A 14043-nucleotide genomic window follows, 5' to 3' on the forward strand; every position below is an offset into this window, starting at 1 on the left:
CCAGTTTGGGATATAGAATGCAGAATTTTGCAAATTTATTTTTAACCACAGAAGCACCCCCTCCGACACACACACACTCCACTTTTGTTCTTGTGGTCCCATTGTGATCTAAAAATGTTTTGCAAACCTCATAATTATCTGGGAAGCTTATTTTAAATTACCAATTCTCAGTAAATCTTAATTAGAATCTCAAGAGATGGGATCTAGGACTTTGTATTTAAAAAAGCACCTCCTCCAAGTGATGCTGCTGTATTTGACCCTCAAAATGTGGGACTCGAGAGCAGGCAGCCCTTGCTGGCCAGAGTTCAAGAACCATAAAGACCCCTGGACTGTTGTATTCACCTTTGTTTCATTGATTCAATAAATATTGAAGAACCCCTGGCACTGAGGATACTGAAGTGAGGGAGACGCACAATGTGTCTGCTGTCAGGCAGCTCACATTCTTCTAGGGAGAGGCAGATCCCATTAAAACTTCAACAGCTAATCATGTCACAGGTCAGGGGGTAATAAGTGCTCAAAAGAAAAGTAAAGCAAGGTGCATGCGACAAAGAGTGGCATGCTATTTATAAAGGATTTTCAGGGAAGATCTCTCTGATGATGTGACATTTGAACGGATTTTGTAAAGAAGTAAGGTCACAGGTAATGAGGCTATCTGGAGGATTCTAAGAGGCAGAGTGAAAAGCAAGTGCAAAGGCCCTGAGACAGGAGTGGGCCTAGCACCAAGGAACCTGATCACTGCCCTGGAGACTTGAATAGGGAAAGGAAAACAAGGCAGAGGAAGAACATACAGGTCAGAGGGTAGAGAACAAACATACCTATAAGAAGGCATGAAGAGACAATTTATGTGGGGATATACAAATACAATGGGAAGGGTGGAGTCTCTGCAGGGACCCTAAATCGCACAGTGGGAACTTCAAGTGGCTTTAAACTCCAGCTATACTTAGAGTATATCTGTTAACAGGAGCCACTTCTCTTTGGAGAAAAAGCAATCCACTGTAAAATACAATTTTAAGCAACGTACACTGGGTTTTGTATGCTTTCTAGGTGGTTTTCTTTTTCTTTTTTTTTTGTCTTTTTTTTTTTTTGGCAGAGCTTTGCTCTTGTTGCCAAGGCTGGAGTGCAATGGCGGGATCTCAGCTCACTGCAACCTCTGCCTCCCGGGTTCAAGCAATTCTCCTGCCTCAGCCTCCTGAGTAGCTGGCATTACAGGCATGAGCCACCACGCCTGGCTAATTTCATACTTTTAATTTTCACCATGTTGGTCAGGCTGGTCTCGAACTGCTGACCTCAGGTGATCCTTCCACCTTGGCCTCCCAAAGTTCTCGGATTACAGGCATGAGCCACCGTGCCTGGCCCACTTTCTAGGTTTTGTATGCTTTGTGAGAGGATAGAGGTGGGCAATGAGAGATAAAGGGAAACTTATCATGGACAGACACATGAACGAATCTCAACCACAGAGCTACCTAAAATGTTTTGTGGAATAAGGCAAGGAAATCATCAATCAGCTATAGTTTCACTAATTATGAAATACCGCTGCATGAAAATAAAACGTGAATTACCTTGCACATGCAGAAATGATTAAGCACACAGCAAGCAGGATTGCCTGAAAGAAGACCTCTTGCAACAACCTGGTTTCTAATAGGAAGAACAAAAACAAATAAATTAGAAATCATTGCTGATTCAATCATCTTGGAAGAAAAAATCATCTCAAACTTCCCTTGTACCCACCAAAAAAAAAAAAAAGTTTTGGAATGTATGTCAGTTCAAGCAATGTGTCATAAATAACAAGATAAAATTACCTACTGTTATACAGGGCTGTCATTAGAAAATTTCTGCAAATAATTACTTTCTTCAATCACTATAAAATAAAAGACTATGCTATTTTCACAGTTTAGGGCTTGCCTTTTGATTTAATGTTGGGGAAAGGCTTTGTAGAGTTTATGATAATGTAAGAAATCTAATTCTGTCATTGTGATAATAATAATGTCTAAAATCTGTAAAGTGCCTTATAATTCACAAAGAGCTTGTATACGTTAGTTCACTTAAACAGCACAACAACGCTGTGAGGTGGATGCCATTATCTTAGTTCTGCAAAGAGAAGAAAAAGACTAAGAGAAATGATGAACTTGTCCAAGGTCACATAGCTATGAGGTGTCACAGCCAAGATTTAAAAACCACATCTAGACAGAACATAACATTTTGTCTGAAGTGGGCAGGGAAAGACAATTGCAACTTTGCATAATGGAAGTCTCTAAAGACAAAAAATGAGAACATATATTATGAAATATTTGTCTTTGAAAACTCTTTGCAATCAGTACAATATTTCAGTACTGCCAAGCCACAGTAGAAACTACAAATTATCCAGCAATTATAAGCATAAGAGTTAATTCAATCATGAACCTCAGTATTATTCTAATCACCTTAAATAAATTAAAGCTGATTTGAGGATTACCACATAAAAAACCTAAAGGAGAATATAAACAGACCTCAACTTAATTTTTGCCAAATGCTTCAAAAGCTCAATTTTGCAACAGTTGTTTAAAACTTGGAATGACTTTATGTTATGAATGCATTTATTTTTGCTATTTATGCCATGAATGAGGATTGAGTCAGCTAACAAAACCTACTTAGCCCATAATGCGGGTGGAATGCTGAAGATTGGCAATTCAAAATATCACAGTAGTAAATTATGTCACTGCAAATGTACAGTTGTTCATGTACATTGTGAATTCAGTTATTGTGGGTTCAACTGAATACTCAACCATCCTTCTAAAGTGTGTTTCTATTCTTAGCCTCCCCTGATTTCATGTGGAATTTGGAAAACATTTCCTCAGAAACAAATCTAGCTTGAAAAACTGCAAAGATCACTAGACTTGGATACTGAAGGATGAATGGGTTTAGATTTGAGATCTACAAAGATATGAGTTGTGTGATTTGGGATGAATTATTCATGGATTCCTTCCTTAAGTTGCCATTTGCTGAATACCTTTTTCAGCTCAGCTCAGGTGTAACCTCCTTTAGGAAGCCTACCTTGATTCTACTGGCTCCTCCTTGGCCCTTAGCTGCTCCCTCCCTGTGCTCCCATTATACCTTGTTCATATCTCTGCTAACTCTCTTTTCACATGGAATTAAAAATTCTATAATATTTCTCAATATTCCCCCACTAAACTGCAAGCTCATTGAGAAAATAGCATTGATTTCCTGTTCTCTGGGGACAGTGCTCATATTTTCCTTGAGGAATCACCTCTCCCCCTCTCTTGGTACACAGTTTAGGTGAAGTGACTGATTTTTTCTGACTTTCCTCCTAGCATTTGATTCCTTTCAAGCTTTTCGGAGTTTCACATATATCAGGGGAACCCACCCCCAACATTTCAACGTAGGTTCTCCCTATTTTCCCTAAGTGTCAGCCAGTCTGAGAAATAAACAGAAAGAGTACAAAGAGAGGAATTTTACAGCTGGGCTGCCGGGGGTGACATCACATACTGGTAGGACTGTGATGCCCACCTGAGCCGTAAAACCAGCAAGTTTTATTGAGGATTTTAAAAGGGGAGGGGGTGCAAGAACAGCAAGTAGGTCACAAAGATCACATGCTTCAAAGGGCAAAAAGGAGAACAAAGATCACATGCTTCTGAGGAAACAGGGACAGGGCAAAATCAGAAACTCCCAATAAGGGACTATGTTCAGCGGTGCACATACTGTCTTGATAAACATCTTAACAGAAAACAGAGTTCGAGAGCAGAGAACCGGTCTGACCTCAAATTTACCAGGGCTGGGGTTTCCCAATCCTAGTAAGCCTGAGGGTACTGCAGGAGACCAGGGCATATCTCAGTCCTTATCTCAACGGCATAGGACAGACACTCCCAGAGCAGCCGTTTATAGACCTCCCTCCAGGAATGCAATTCTTTTCCTAGGGTCTTAATATTAATATTCCTTGCTAGGAAAAGAATTTAGCGATGTCTCTCCTACTTGCACATCCATTTATAGGCTCTCTGCAAGAAGAAATATATAGCTGTTTTTGCCCGACCCCGCAGGCAGTCAGACTTTATGGTTGTCTTCCCTTGTTCCCTAAAATCGCTGTTATTCTGTTGGTTTTCAAGGTGCACTGATTTCATATTGTTCAAACACACATGTTTTACAATCAATTTGTACAGTTAACGCAATCATCACAGTGCTCCTGAGGTGACGTACAGCCTCAGCTTATGAAGATGACAGGATTAAGAGATTAAAATAAAGAGAGGCATAACAAATTATGAAAGCATTATTAGAGAAGTGATAAATGTCCATGAACTCTTCACAACTTATGTTCCTCTGCCGCAGCTCCAGCTAGTCCCTCCATTCAGGGTCCCTGACTTTCTGCAGCACACATACTTATCAACAAAGTTTTGTTCATGTGAAACATGCCCTTCCAAAACCAATAAAACTCAATTACTGGCCTCTTGTCATTAGCCTAGACAGATGTAATCTCTTTCTGCAGAACTGGAAACTGGAAAGGTGTAGGCACAGAGCCACCAGGATCCACCATGTATGGAGGGCCTTTTTTTCTTTTCTTTTCTTTTCTTTTTTTTCTTTTTTTTTTTTAACAGGGTCTCACTCTATTTCCCAGGCTGCAGTGCAGTGCATGATCTTGGCTCACTGCAGCCTTGACTTCTTAGGCTCAGGTGATTCTCCCACCTCAGCTTCCCAGCTAGCTGGAAATTCAGGCATGCACCACTATGCCCAGATAATTTTTTGTAGAAATGGGGTCTCACCATGTTGCCTAGGCTGGTCTCCAACTCCTGGGCTCAAACGATCCTGTCACCTCAGCCTCCTGAGTAGCTGGGACTACAGGCATGAGACACCATGACTGACTAATTTTTGTATTTTTTGTAGAGACAAGGTCTCACTATGTCACCCAGGCTGGTCTGGTACAACCTTTTAAAGAGTAACACAGACACAGAAGAGAAGAGACAACAAAAGACAGAGAATGCCAGGATCCTGCACTGTAAGCCTGGAATTTTCATTAAGATGAGCCAATAAATTCTATTGATTAATCCACTTTGAGTTGGGTTTCCATCCATTGGAACTCAAAAATCTTCAACTGATACAACTGATGTATCTGCCTATATCTTTGGCACCTGGAAAAGAACACACATGCAATACCTACATGTGAAGGGCTTAATGGAAGATGGAGACCTTGTCCACCCAGGACTTCATAGCTTAGTGAGAAAGAGGAAAATAAACAGTTTCTATAGTGATATATAGAGTGCTAGGGAATCAAGGCGAAGTGAAGCGCTACCTCCACCAGCCAGAAGGGGGTAGAGAAGGTGCATAGAGGTGGTCTCATTTAATTTGAGACTTGAGGAAGAGTAGGAGGCCACCCAGGTATAGCAGGTGGGAGAGAGATTCCAGACCCAGCAAAGAGCTTATATTTGTTCTTACAAAACTCTTGGCAAAGAGTACAAAGGTTAACTTTACCTGTCTGAATCTGAATATTCTTATGTGTAAAATGGAGGTAGCACACTTATTAATTGGTCCACCAGTAATGAAGCATCATCTCTGTGCCTATGTGGGCATTTTGGAATTCACAGATGACAATGACCTAGTGCTTATCTTTAAGGAGCTCACAGAGGCAAACATGCAGTGACAGTGCAAATAATGGGCATGAGAAAGAGAAGTCCTGGGAGCTAGGGGAGCACCAAGAAGGGTGGGCTCCCTGGAGGAGGTGGCTATTGAGCCTTCTTAGGTGTTGATAACCTGTCATTTCAACACCTGGAAAGGGAACTATAAAAAAACAAAAACCAAACCAAAACAAAAAAAACCCTTGAACACTTATCTAGTAGCTGCACTAGGAACAAAATGTACAAAGCATATTGATCTTCAGGACTAGAAGAGTGATGGCCAGTGAAGTGAATATTTATGATTTTTTGAAAGCAAATAAACAGAAAATATTTTTTCCATTTAACTTCAATGTTATGTAACAATAACTTCACATTTACTGAGTATTCAATAGACATGACATAGTATGCTAAGTACTTTACATGAGTTATTTTAGTCATGACAAGGTAGGAATTATGATCCTCTCCATGTAGAGATAAAAATGAAGTTTGAGAGGGTTTGGTAAACTGCTTCTGAGTTATAGCTAAGGAGTAGGGATCTGGGCTTTTAATCTCAGCAAGCCAATGACAGAGTGGGCTCTTTCACCTTGGTGCAGCACCATGTCCAAACATGCTTAATCTGACATTAGCAAACCAGAGACTAAGGGACATGCTTGTTGAATTTATTACAGCTTTGCTCCTGCCAGAAAATACCAATGCCTTTATTATCTTTTGACTTTTCCTTGTCAGAAGCATAGCATTAAAGGATGTTCTTTTTGTTGTTTCCTCTTCTTCTTCTTCTTTTTTTTTTTTTTGGAGTCTTACTCTGTCACCCAGGCTGGAATGCAGTGGTATGATCTCGAGTGATCTCGACTCACTGCAACCTCCACCTCCCAGGTTCAAGTGACTCTCCCTGTCTCAGCCGCCAGAGTAGCTGGGATTACAGGCATGTGCCACCATGCCCAGCTAATTTTTCTATTTTTAGTAGAGATGGACTTTTGCCATGTTGGCCAGGCTGGCCTCAAACTCCTGACCTCAGGTGTTCCACCCGCCTCAGCCTCCCAAAATACTGAGATTACAGGTGTGAGCCACTGTGCCTTCTTATGTAGTATGTCCAATACACAGCTAAGAATTAAAATAGCAAACATCTGTGTATCTTCCACTTTGCTTTATTGAAGCCTAACATTTTACAAAATATTCTCAGAATTTTTTTTTTTTTTTGAGATGGAGTCTCGCTCTGTCACCCAGGATGGAGTGCAATGGCGCGATCTCAGCTCACTGCAACCTCTGCCTCCTGGGTTCATGCAATTCTCCTGCCTCAGCCTCCCGAGTAGCTGGGACTATAGGCACCCGCCACCATGCCCAGCTAATTTTTTGTATTTTTAGTAGAGACAGTGTTTCACCATGTTAGCCAGGATGGTCTTGATCTCCTGACCTTGTGATCCGCCCGCCTCGGCCTCCCAAAGTGCTGGGATTACAGGCCTGACCTGCCGTGCCCGGTCTCTGAATATTTTTTAAGTAAAACACTGCAGATCCAGTTACTGATGCCTCTAACATGACACCCAAAGGCAGTCATCTCCTCTGCAAAGGGTCACCTGGGCTTTGGCAGAGGCCCCATGTCCTCCCTTCCTCGCACAGGTTGGTACCAGCTCCTAACTGCATTTTAGTCATCTCCAAGTCATTCTCAGGCTCTGAAAGGAAGAATTCTTTGGGTGTGGCAAATATTTAAAACACCTGAACTCACCTGAATGATCCGAACTATTCTCTTGGAAACGTTCAGAAGCTGTCAACTGGGACTGAAGAGACAAGCTATGGGAGTTTCCTCCAGGAGGCTGAGATATGATGTGGCTGGAAGAGGAGGTGATCACAGACTCTGCATTCATCTTCCCTGACTCCCAGTCATCAGTCAGAGAAGAACAGTCTAAATCATCTGCTGAAAAAGCAGAGGGGTTCAGTGTGAGTGTGTGTGTGTGTGTGTGTGTGTGTGTGTGTGTGTTCAGTGACTGCTCAATGCACAGTTAGTTCCTAATAATCACAAAAATAGTAATATTGATACGGTATTGCACTACCATAGTGGGATGGGAGAAGGATTTTTGGATGAGATGAGATGATGTATTCGTCTGTTTTCATGCTGCTGATAAAGACTTTCCTGAGACTGGGTAATTTATAAAGAAAAAGAGATTTAATGGACTCACAGTTCCACATGGCTGGGGAGGCTTCACAATCATGGTGGAAGGCAAGGAGGAGCAAAGTCACATCTTACATGGATAGTGGCAGGTAAAGAGAGAATAAGAGTCAAGTGAAAAGAGAAATCCCTTGTAAAACCATCAGATCTCATGAGACTTATTCACTATCATGAGAACAGCATGAGAAAGACCCATCACCATGATTCAATACCCTCCCACCAGATCCCTCTCACAACATGTGGGAATTGTGGGAGCTACAATTCAATATGAGATTTGGGTGAGGACACAGGCAAACCATTTCAAATGGCATTTCAATTTGTCTTCATACTTGAAGGTTGAAGAGAAATATCTTCAGTGCAGAGATAAACAAAGGCCAGAGGCATCTTCAATGACACTGAAGTTTGTATAGATGGATTTAAAGGATATGTAGTCAGTATATGAACCTCACATCTTTATAGGACCAAACTTTACAGCAGTCAACTCTTTCTACTTCTGATTCATTTATTCATTCAACATTTATTGAATGTGACTATATATTAGAAACTGACCTAGCTGCTGGGATATAGTGGTGAATTAGAACAACATCTCTGTCCTTACATATTGCTGAGTGGCAGGGAAGAAAATATCTTGTGATAAGTGTCATGAAGGAAATTCTGCCTCTATAAAATACATTGAAATGCCTAGATAAAATATAGCAACCATCTGTTTAAATTTTTTTATTCAAAGAGGCTATTTCATACACACATAGCTTCAAGAACATGCACCCATTTTCTCCTATGATGATTCATACATAAATATATTTTACTTGCCCTAAACTTAGCCTGACATTCTCACAAAAAGTCAAGTTTATTGCAAAAGCATGCATGCAACTTCAAGTTTCAAACATGCTAAGATGATTCCTCATAACACTTGGTGTCTTCAATGTGAGGTCACCAAGGAATGAATTTTAATCCTTGATTCTTAGTTTGAGTCAGAGATTAGGGGATCCAAAACTCTATAAGCCAAAGCTTCCTTGGAAAGGATGAATGTGTTAAGAATGCCTTTCAACCACAGGGATAGTTAAGCACCACACCTCTGACTCAACCACTGGAAGTCTCCCATTTGGCTCACCTGGCATAAATGTACCTAGGAATTCTCTTGGTTCTGTCTTGAGTGGTCTGTGTCACATTCCAGGGTTTAACTTTACTCTTATGATCTTGGGTAAGAATTCGTGCCAGTTTAGAGCTCATTGACTTGGAAGCAAAGCCACTCAGAAAGAGTAGCCAGAGTCCTGCTTTGGGATGTAGGTGTTTTCTAAGCTGACATCTAAAAGGGACTGCACATGCCCAACAAATGTACTTTTCTTTATAGCTGAGCTCAAAAGAAGGAAATATTCCCAAAGGCCAAGCCAGGGAAACCTATAACTCTAAGCATACGCTGTGGACAAAGCTGCCAAAAGGGGTGGGGAGAGGGCCTTAGAAGTCATAGTAGTCAAAGGTCTATGGATTAAATGACATTAGGGACAGAAAAAAGGCCTTGGTCTCAAGAGAGGCAGAAAATTAAAACCGAGTTTCTGTAGGGACTCAAAATGCTATTTCCTCAATGAAAGGATGGCTAAGAAAAAAAATCTGCCCACTAGTTCTAGGAGAAGGCATGAAAGCTTATCTGTTTTGGCCTATGTAGTGGGTGGGAGGAAAATGTCTCCGCCAACACTTTATAAGTAAGTGGGTTTTCAGTTAAATTTTTTTTTTTTTTTTGAGACGGAGTTTTGCTCTTGTTGCCCAGGCTGGAGTGCAATGGCGCAAGCTCAGCTCACAGCAACTTCCACCTCCTGGGTTCAGGCGATTCTCCTGCCTCAGCCTCCCGAATAGCTGGGATTACAGGCATGTGCCACCATGCCCAGCTAATTTTGTATTTTTAGTTGAGATAGGGTTTCTCCATGTTGGTCAGACTAGTCTTGAACTCCCGACCTCAGATGATCCACCCACCTCGGCCTCCCAAAGTGCTAGGATTACAGGCATGAGTCACCATGCCTGGCCTTGAGTTAAAATTTATACTAACCTGGGAAATTAATATTTTAAAAAGTCTCAGGCTGGTACTAGCCCTGTGATATCTGCCAGAAGCCAACATAAAAGCTCTCTGTGGAAACACACTCTCAGCCCAAGCTGCACAGATTTCCCCAGATAAAGCCCAAAGGACATGAGCTCACAATCTAAAATTATAAATTATGCAGGGAGATAATCTCCTATGGGTAAGGAGAATAAATATGATGCTTCAGAAAAAGATAATCCTGCAGTGGGAGATGATGGGAGTAGCCAGGATGTTACCGTCTGGCTTTAAGCTTTGAGCAGGAGGCATGATGTTTGGAGAAATTGTCCTAATTTATTTTACCTTGGGGAAACTCTGAAGACCTGTAAAATTTGTGTTTTTTGTTTTTTTGTGGTTATTTTATACCCATAGTATGTCCTTATTTTTGCTTCTTGTCTAAACAGGACAATTACTTCTATGGTCCATCTAAGCCTTGATTTCATGACTAAGGGAAATATGAATATCGACTGGGCAAATATTTGGTAAACTTATGAACTGTAGGACACTTAGGAGGGAAACAAGGGAGAATAAGACACTGTCCCAAAAGAAGTTGAAATCTAGGGTGTGTGTGTACATGTGTGCATGTGTGTGTTTGTGTGTGTGTGCATGTACACATGAGTCAACAGTGGGAGGCAATAAAGAAGGCATCACTTATGGACAGGGGAAACAGACTATCATTTGCTAAAAAGAGATGAAATATGGTTTTGTGGAAATTTCAAGGACTTTGGCATCAGAAAGACTGAAACATACATTCTAATACTAGTAACAGGGCACTTTGCTTAATTTTTCTGATCCTGAGTTTCTTCATGTAAAATAGGATAGTAATGTCTACTTTTTTACAGCTGTGATAAGTGAAGGAGAAGAGACAAAAATGTAAACATACCAACATATAGTTTAGATGGAGAGAATTGAAACTTCTATTGCTAATAGACATTATAATAGATATAGACCCTAGTTACGTGACCAAATGTGATAATCAACTTCATGGGGAGTAGGGGGTGGTAGAAGGGTGCTGATGAGTCATCAAACGATGTTTCAAGGTGGAAGTGATTTTTAAGAATTTATCATTCAATAATAAAAGAAGCTTATTACTTGACCTTGGGGAAGGTAATATTTACTTTGAATTAGATATGCAGGAATTTGCTATACCATGAAGGGACTCCTAAACCTGCTCCAGACATTTCTAGGCACAGGGTTTATCCCATATGGCTGCTTACTTGCCCCGACTTCACCATAGGACAGGGTCCTCTCTAGAAGAAAGTGCCCCAGCAGAGGGTAAAGACTGTAATCTCTGCCCCCTGCCTCATCACAGAGCTGAACAGGCATAGCAAGAGGGCCTCTGGGAAAGACCAACCTGACCTGGTGGGGAATAGCCACAGTTCCTGAGAAGGGTTTAGAGACAGGGACAAAAGAAAAACAGGGAGGAAGAAAGGAAAGAATCAAGAAGGTGATTTTTACCATGTAGTAGGAACTTCAAGGGGAACAAGCAGGGGAATCTGAACAGCCCCAGTTAACAAATAGAAACTTTCTCTGCCTTGATTGCTGTCATGGAATGTCTGGAACATAAAATGACTAAGGAAAGATACGAAACCAGCTGGGAGGAAAGACTGAAGCAGCCCCCAGGTGACATACCCAGAGAAGACCCCCAAGCCAGAGGAATTGGGAGGTGGAGCAAAAGTAAGGCGGGAGGCAAAAGCTGCATGGATACGGGCCAGGCAGATCTATTTATTCATTCAATGCAGTTATTGTATATACTGCAAATGCTGCTCTGGAAGAAGGAAGTCAAATTAGATATTGCTCTGCCTTACTCATGATCTGGAGAGGGACATACATGCAAATGAACAATTAGGATGCAATGAGGTAATTGCTACAACAAAGGCTGGAACAAGTTATCCAGTGGGAATCTAGGAAGGGGTGTCTGAGTCTGTCTGAGGGAAATCCAAGGAGGCTTCACAGAGGAGGCAGCGCTTCAGTGGAAACTGGAAGGATGAGTAACAGTTCTTCCAGAGAGACAGCAGGAAGAGGACAGGCCAGGCAGAGAGGAAGAGAGTAAGTGGGGATGGGGAGAAATTACAATACCTCAATCTATGAGAGACCAGGGTGGGTTCCCAGAAGAGTCCTCCTGTGTAGCTAGACAAGAGCATGTGCATGAGGTCAGTCCCAGGAGATGATTCTGTCTGGGCTGCTAAGCAGAGGTCACATTGTGTGGGGTCTCATGTCACACTCCAAGCTAATATTGATTCTGTGGGTGATTTAGAGTCATTAAAAAAATCTGAGCATGAGTGTAACATGAGTTGCTTTGTGTGTTAAAATGCTCACTCAGCAGTGAGAGATTTGCGAGATTCCCAGTCTCCCATTCTAGGAGCTGAGTGACTATGGGGCTCCAAGAGACATTGGGGTCCTCATACAACAGTAGTTCTTAATAGGGGGTGATTTCTCCTCCCCGGGGACATGGTGCAATATCTTGAGACAGTTTACGTTGTCACAACTTGGAGTGAGGTGAGGGGTGTTACGGGCATCTACTGAACAGAGGCCAGGGATGCTATTAAACACCCAACAGTGCACAGGGCAGGTGCCACAACAAGACATTACCTGCCCACGATACTGTGATGCTGAGGCTGAGAAACCCTGTCATTGAGAGAGCTGACCTAACCGTCTAAGGCAACTGGATCATTAGAGTCCTTTCGACAACTCTGGTAGGTGCTTCAAGTGAGAATCACGTGTCTGTATTTTCCTGGTTGTACTTAATCTAGTCAAAACACTCTGTTCTCTGCCTTCAGAGGACAGATCATAATTTATGATTTTATCATTGTTACAGAAATACAGACAATAGAATACATAATTTCTGTGTGTGTGTTTTTTTGTTGTTGTTGTTTAGTGTCTGTCTCCCTCACTAGACAAAAGGCTCCGTGAGAAAAAGGTCACTTCATCTGTCCCAGACACCAGCAATTAGTACCCAGCTCATAGTTAGCATTCAGTAAGTTTTACAGAGAATTCGGTAAGGGGTAGGAGGCTAAGATATGTAGTGTTGTTATTTGCAAAATCTAACGTAGGCCTGTTATAACAGGGTACAGTAACTATAGAGAAAGTGGGTCAGTATTTGCCACCACGGAGGCTAAGTTTGAGCTAAGACTGCGACTTCAAGAGAGGAGAATAGCTGGTGGGCTGACTTCACCTGTGGTTCCCCTCAGCCTGGATACTGAGTTGGGGGTTTTGGACTGGGAAATTCCTACTAACCCTGCAGGCTTCCTTGCACTGCCTTACACATAGCCTTTGGCAGCTTGACAAAGCAGTCTGTGGATGCATCCCTGCTGGTTGCCATAGAGAAAGGAGTGACAGAAAATGAAACACGCAGATCATCCAATAATGACCAGGCTCCTGAGGGGGCCCTGGACCATGCCCATCCCAGCACCATGCATGGTAGCCAAGATGCGGAAGCAGCCTAAGTATCCTTCCACAGATGAGTGGATGATGAAAATGTGGTATATGCATCCAATGGAATATTATTCAATCTTAAAAAAAAGAAGGAAATCTTGCCATTTGCAAGAACATGGATAAACCTGGAGCACAGTATGCCAAGTGAAATAAGCCAGTCACAGAAGGACAAATATTGCATGATTCTCCTTCTATGAGGTAGCCAAAATAGTCAAACTCATAGGAGCAGAGAGTACAATAGTGGCTGCCAGGGGATAGGGGTTTGGGTGGGGGAAATTGGGAGCCATTGTTCAATGTGAATATGGTCTCAGTTACGCTGGAAGGATGAGTTATAGAGATCTGCTCTACAACGTAGTACCTGTAGTTAACAACATGGTATTTATTAATAAGGTAGCTCTCATGTTATGTTCTTACACACACACACACACACACACGCATACACATACACACACACACAGAGACACAGGCACCTTTGGGACATGTTGGGTATGTCTATTACCTTGATTGTGGTGATGGAATTCACAGGTGTCTGCATATGTCTAAAGTCATAAAATTGTACACATGAAATATGTGCAGTTCTCTGTATAGCAATTACACCTCAATAAAGCTGTTAAAAAAAAGAGGAGGCTAGCTGATCAAATCAATGTGGAAGTGAGAAAGAGATGGGAACTTCCACGGCTAATTATGTAGTCATGAGTGCCCCTTAACTACAATCTGGGTAGATGTGGACGAGACTGTAACAACAGTAAAAAGATGTGCTGTTTCCCAGGGCTGCCCAGTTG

The 14043-nt window shown here is 41.8% G+C and overlaps 1 protein-coding gene across 14 annotated transcripts in view; it reads right to left on the reverse strand.

Moving 5' to 3' along the window:
• Positions 1–14043, reverse strand: part of TMEM71 (transmembrane protein 71) — a 70161-nt gene that overhangs the window by 14642 nt on the left and 41476 nt on the right. For 6 of the 14 annotated variants that reach the window (NM_144649.3, NM_001382398.1, NM_001382403.1 and 3 more), the window contains 2 exons: positions 7318–7506; positions 1560–1635 (listed from right to left, as the gene is read on the reverse strand). In NM_144649.3, coding sequence (NP_653250.2) covers positions 1560–1635; positions 7318–7506 — 265 coding nt within the window. Of the gene's footprint in view, positions 1–1559; positions 1636–7317; positions 7507–7768; positions 7832–14043 lie in introns of all 14 variants that reach the window. The other 8 variants (NM_001382396.1, XM_047421363.1, NM_001364885.2 and 5 more) reach the window with 3 other exon arrangements.

This window comes from Homo sapiens, chromosome 8 (genome assembly GCF_000001405.40).
Source record: "Homo sapiens chromosome 8, GRCh38.p14 Primary Assembly".
Classification (NCBI taxonomy): Eukaryota; Metazoa; Chordata; class Mammalia; order Primates; family Hominidae; genus Homo; species Homo sapiens.